The sequence below is a fragment of the Homo sapiens genome, chromosome 7, assembly GCF_000001405.40.
Source record: "Homo sapiens chromosome 7, GRCh38.p14 Primary Assembly".
In the NCBI taxonomy this organism is placed as follows: domain Eukaryota; kingdom Metazoa; phylum Chordata; class Mammalia; order Primates; family Hominidae; genus Homo; species Homo sapiens.
The window spans coordinates 30129245-30134883 of record NC_000007.14 but is presented as its reverse complement, the minus strand read 5'-3'; the positions used below and the strand labels follow the sequence as shown (position 1 = coordinate 30134883).

General features: G+C 42.5%; 1 protein-coding gene and 1 long non-coding RNA gene across 5 annotated transcripts in view; one reads left to right on the top strand and one right to left on the bottom strand.

Moving 5' to 3' along the window:
- LOC105375216 (uncharacterized) lies at positions 170-5420 on the top strand. 3 transcript variants are annotated; one of them, XR_927146.3, is made up of 3 exons: positions 170-280; positions 1429-1567; positions 3401-5420. It is a non-coding gene; the product is annotated as an uncharacterized LOC105375216 (long non-coding RNA). The 3 variants fall into 3 exon arrangements; XR_007060271.1 differs by lacking the exon at positions 1429-1567 and having other exon boundaries at positions 252-280; XR_007060270.1 differs by lacking the exon at positions 170-280 and having other exon boundaries at positions 1346-1567.
- Positions 4401-5639, bottom strand: part of PLEKHA8 (pleckstrin homology domain containing A8) — a 102072-nt gene continuing 100833 nt past the window's right edge. For both annotated transcript variants that reach the window (NM_001350973.2, NM_001350974.2), the window contains one exon: positions 4401-5618. In NM_001350973.2, coding sequence (NP_001337902.1) covers positions 5613-5618 — 6 coding nt within the window. In that variant the 3' untranslated portion in view covers positions 4401-5612. The remainder of the gene's footprint in view (positions 5619-5639) is intronic.

Sequence of the window (5639 nt, the reverse complement as noted above, 5' to 3'; positions counted from 1 at the left end):
CCGGGCCGGGACGCGGGGCGGCGGGAGGAGCGGCCGGCACCCCCGCGGGCGCCCGGATTTTCCTGGGCGCTCCCGCCCCCCCTTTATTTTTAAACAAACCCGGAGCATCCCGGGGCCCTGGCCATCGCGGTGCCGCCCCGGGCCGTGACGTCATGGGCCCCAGCCAATCACCGGAGCCTGAGACCGCGCCGCGGCTTGCGAGCCCGGTGACGTCACAGCGCGAGCCTGGAATCCGCAGCTCCGCGGGTTACCTGGAAGCGGTGCGAGCGCCCAATACCTGGTTAGCGTTTCTGTGGAGTTAGAAAGCCCAGGAAGCGTTTGCCCAAATGCGATTTAAATGCAAGGGAGGCCATAGAACTGCAGATAACTTGGACCTTGTCTGGGGCTAGCAGTGGAGGAGCTGAGAAAATCTAAGGAAAAGGGAGCTTTTCTTTTTGCAGAAACCAAAGTTCTGTTCTCCGATTGATTTAAGGGAATGTGTCTTCTTAATGCATTTATCAGACACTAATATGAATGTTCACTTGCAAAGGGCGTGTGTGATTTTTTATTTGCGTTACGTAAAGCTGAATATTTCTTAGAAATGAGCCTCATAAGACTGGCTTCAGTATTATTCAGCTTGAATTCACATTGCATAACCTAAAAAGGTCAAGAGGATAAAGCACATTTTAAAACAAGAGTGTGTGGCCCAACGATTGCACCTGTTGAGTGCTCACTGGCTGCCATATACTGGACAGGCATTACTGGATTGCAGAAAATGCACTAGGGTCCTCGCCCTCAGGACTTGAACACTACAAACACAGACACGTTATAAACATTCAGCCAGCTTTTTTCTGTAAAGTGTGTCTTCTGAACCAGGCACTGTGCACGAATTTACATTCCCACCAACACGTATATATGTTTCCTTTTCTCTGCACCCTCACCAACATCTGCTGTTTTTTGACTTTTTAATCATAGCCATTTTGACTGGTGTGAGATTGTATCTCATTGTGGTTTTAATGTGCATTTCTCTGATAATTAGTGGATGTTGAGCATTTTTTCATATGTTCGTTGGCCACTTGTATGTCTTTTTTGAGAAATATCTGTTCATGTCCTTTGCCCACTTTTTAATGGGTTTTTTTTTTTTCTTGTTGAGTTGTTTGAGTTCCTTGTAGATTCTGGATATTAGTCCTTTGTCAGATGCGTAGTTTGCAAATATTTTCTCTCATTCTGTAGGTTGTCTATTTACTCTGTTGATTGTTTCTTTTACTGTGCAGAAGCTTTTTAGTTTAATTAAGGCCCATTTGTCTATTCTTGTTTTTGTTGCACTTCCTTTGGGGTTTTAGTCATAAATTATTTGCCTAGGCCAATGTTGCAAGGAACTGAATTCTGCCAACAACCCGAATGAGCTTGAAAAGCAGATTTTTTTCTCAAACTTGTTGTCTTTTCCAGACAAGAACTGAGCCTGACTATTACCATGATTGCAGCCTTCGCAGAACCTGAGCGAGAACCCAGTGATGCCATGGCTGTGCTGGGACTTCCGACTTTCAGAACTGTGGGCTATTAAATGGGTGTTGTTTTAAGCTGTTAGGTCTGTTTAAATTCTTCATGCAGCAGTAGAAAACTAATACACAGGACAATGAAGGAGACAGGCACATGAATATAAAAATGCAATATGCTGTTGTAAAGTTACAAAATGGTCCTTAAAAAAAAAAAGTATGGGTGTCTCCAGATAGCACAAGCTTCCTTGCAGTTTTACCTGGCACCACCATTTAAAGCATAATATGTGTTCCAAAAATGAATTCCTTAAATTGGAGATGAAAATATGAAAAATACATTCCTTTTTTCCTTTTTCGGGAAAGAAGGAGTTTTTTTTTTAATCCATGTGTTTTAAAATGTATCAGTCAAATTTGCTCCAAGTGATGTGATCAGAATTATGAAGTTATGTTTATTTAACAAATAGTTTTTGTCAGAAAATGAAAAACTCTTATGAAAAATAAAATTTTGGGTACAAAGCAATTGGTCAATGAAATGGATACCGTTGGGTTTCCTTAGAAATGCACTGAGAGCAACAGCAAAAGCTTCAGAACTCCATGTCTGCATTGATTCCTCCCTCTGCCATTTTAAGTTTTATGTGCATCTGCAACTTCCTTCATTGCTCGGAGCTCAGTTTTCTTTTCTGAAAACAGGGACAACAGTGAGATAAAGTATATAAAGTCCTTATCCCAGAACCTAGCACATAGTAAGAACTCAGTAAATGCCATTATTACTCTTAATCTACTTCTTAGGGATGATGTGTAAGAAGATCAGCTAATGAATTTTTAAAGTGAAATTCAGGAGTGATATGACTGGTAATATTGGTCACAGATGAACCTAAATCTCATTTTTTTTTCCAAGTCTTTAGAGCAGGGTTTCTCAGCAGCAGCACTATTGATATTTGAAGCCAAAAATTCTTTGTTGTTGGAGGCTGTCCTGCACATTGCAGGATTTTTAGCCACATTCCCTGGCCTCCACCCACTGGATGCCTGTAGCATCTCCCTCTACCCTCCCCTCTCTCCACTGTGACAAGCAAAAATTTCTCCAGACATTGCCAAATGTCCCCTGAGTGCAAAATTACCCCTACTTGAGAACCACAGATTTAGAGAGAAAAGTCTTGCAACAGTCGTGTTTTGGTCATTTTTACTAACTAGTGGAAAGGGTATGCACATAAAGCAGCTGAAATTCATCCTGGAAAGTTCATCTGCAGAAGTTGCTTGAAATTTTGTTTCCTTAGAACAACTGGTAAAGCCACCAGTTGCTTAGCTAAGAAGATCATAAACCTTTGCCCTGCCTCCCTCCTGTTTGGGGAGAGTCCTGTGAGGCATCCCAGGTTGTAGGGGTGTATTTAGGCCTCATGCACAGGGCAGTGGTCATTTCAGAACTCTAGCCAGGTGTTTTGTGCAGCCAGTAGGTGAGGAAACACCAGGGCTACCCATACCCCCTTTCTTGTGTTCCCATAGCCTTTGGCCATGGTTTGGAAGTAGAAGGAAAATTAAAACTTCTCCCCAGCCAGGCGTGGTGGCTCACACCTGTAATCCCACCACTTTGGGAGGCCAAGGTGGGTGGATCACCGAGCCCAGGAGTTTGAGACCAGCCTGGGCAACATGGTGAAAACCTGTCTCTACTAAAAATACAAAAATTAGCTGGGCATGGTGGCATGTGCCTGTAGTCCCAGCTACTTGGGAGGCTGAGGTGGGAGAATCCCTTGAGCCCTCGAAGTCGAGGCTGCAGTGAGCCATGATCACACCACTGCCCTCCAGCCTAGGTGACAGAGGGAAACCCTATCTCAAAAAACAAAACAAACAGACAAAAAAACTTATCCCCACCAGTAGGCAGAGTTGTACAGTCTTCATTGTATTTAAGGAACGTTTCTGTTCATTTATAGAAATCTGGACTTTGCTGTCTCTGAAAATCACCATTTGCCTTTGGGAGATGTGTGTTGGCAAGAAGAGGAGACATATTCAAACCCCACTGGCTAGGACATCAGGAGCTCAGTATGGAATGCAAAGGCCACCCTAGACTGTCCTGCTAATGCTGACTCTTCTGCCCATCTCTGTTTTGAAGTTCTCCATGGCTTTTATTCTAGTGTAAGTTTGATGTTAACATATAATTTGACCTTTGATTCACTCCTATATTGTAAGTCCGTTAAATTAGCCCTAGTTTTTGATAAATCTGCTCCATCCACATAGCCTTGTGGTTATGCAGTAGGAGGAGGTAGGCAGAGAGGGAAGCGTAGCTGGTTCCACATTCACCCTTCACCTGAACGCAAGGTCGTCTCATTGTATCAAGAGGGACTGTAGACCCCAGGTTCCAGGAGACGGTGGTCAGGAGAGAGGTGTTTGATTTGTCACAGTTGTGATGGGAGAGGTGAAAAGACCATAGGATCTGGAGAAGTAACTCCCAGGAGAGCAACACAGGAGGGATGAGAGCTGTCTTCTCCCTGCACTGTGCTCCAGAACAGTGAGCCCAGCAGTGGGGCGGGGAGGATAAGTAGAGGGCAGACATGAGTTAAGCCTGCGCCATAGTTTATGTGTCACTGCAACTAGAGTCTGAAAGAAAATCAAGTTGGAAGATCAGCGAAAAGTTGAAGATCTATATAAATGAGTCATTGTGATTTACCCCAACTGCCCAGTAAAGCTCTGGAAAAGGATTTCCTTCAGCCTTCCTACAAAATTCATTCTGAATTTTGTTTCTGAATCTTCCAAACTTAGTTTTTACAAAATTATTTCTTTTTTGGACATTCCTCTGAAAGGTTTGGATGTAGAATTTGAGCGAGTTGGGGTTACATTTTGGCTACAATTGCCTTCAAAACATGCCTAGCTGATCACATTCACCTGGTAAACATTTTCCTTTTATATATATCAAAGAAACAGAAATACTTATGATTTAGTTTTTAGCTTCTTTATTCATTTGAACACTTCAATATTCTGTCTTCTTCAATGATTCCCCCTTGCCCGTATTTTCAGCTGGAACAGTTTCTCATTTTCCCTATTTCTGAACACTTTCAGGGGCTTCCTTCAGTGAAGCCCAACACACAAAACGTCCCTTTCAGCAAAATCTCAGCGGTGGTGCTAAGGGACTAACACAGACTTTAAGGTCACAAAACCATTGTTTTAACATTTTTCTCTGTTTCTTTTCTGATAATGATGACAGTTCTGTCTCTATTATATTTGCTGAAACTTACTAGGACCCAGTGATACTAGCTCATCCTCTAGAGAGAGGTCCCAAGAGCATTACACCAGATCTCCTACGAAGATGTGGGATTTCCTCTAGGAAAAGGTGTGTATCCAGGTAATTTACTAAGCCAGAAGCTGCTGTGATTCTATGGCAGCCTTATCTCTTATGACACGTCCATTTACTAAGATTTGGTGATCTGGATGATGGCACAGAGTGCTGTACTAAAGCCTGCCCCAGATGGTGGGTGTGCATGTCATCAGCTATGATAATGGGAAACTGGCTGATGGAAAGAGCACAGCTCCGATATGTGACACAATGGAAACATTTGGGCATTAGAAAGACTTCAAATTATGACTTCGCCACTAATTAATTGTGTGATCTTGGATAAGTTACTTAACCCCTGCAAACCCCAGTTTTCTCATCTGTAAAAATGGAATAAGGACATATGTCTTATGAACTTATAAGGATCTGAGAAAATAAATATGTGAGTGTGTGAGAGAGTGAGATGGGGGAGGGATGCAATGAATAAACAAGTTTCTAAAAATGTGAGGAATTTGACTATATACCCAAAGTTCTTATAGCAGTGACCTTTGGTCTATAATGCATGTAGAAGTATTGACTTAATTCTAGATTTTGTTAAATCAGGTGTACATGTTGAAAATTTTAAGGTGTATCAATTAGAAATTGCATTCATCTGATAATAAAAATCTTGACTAAAGTGACTTGAACAAGATAAAGTTTCTCTTTGTTTCACATGAATGAGATCTGGAGGTGGGCAGTGCAGGACGGAATTGGCTGCTTCTTTATCATCAGGGTTTCAGCTCTTCTTTCTGCTTTACCGTCCTTAGTGTGTGGCTTCCATCCTCAGAGTTGCCTCATGGTCCATGATGGTTTCTGGAGTTCCGTCTACACCCACATTCCTACACCTACACCAGGATAAAAGAGGG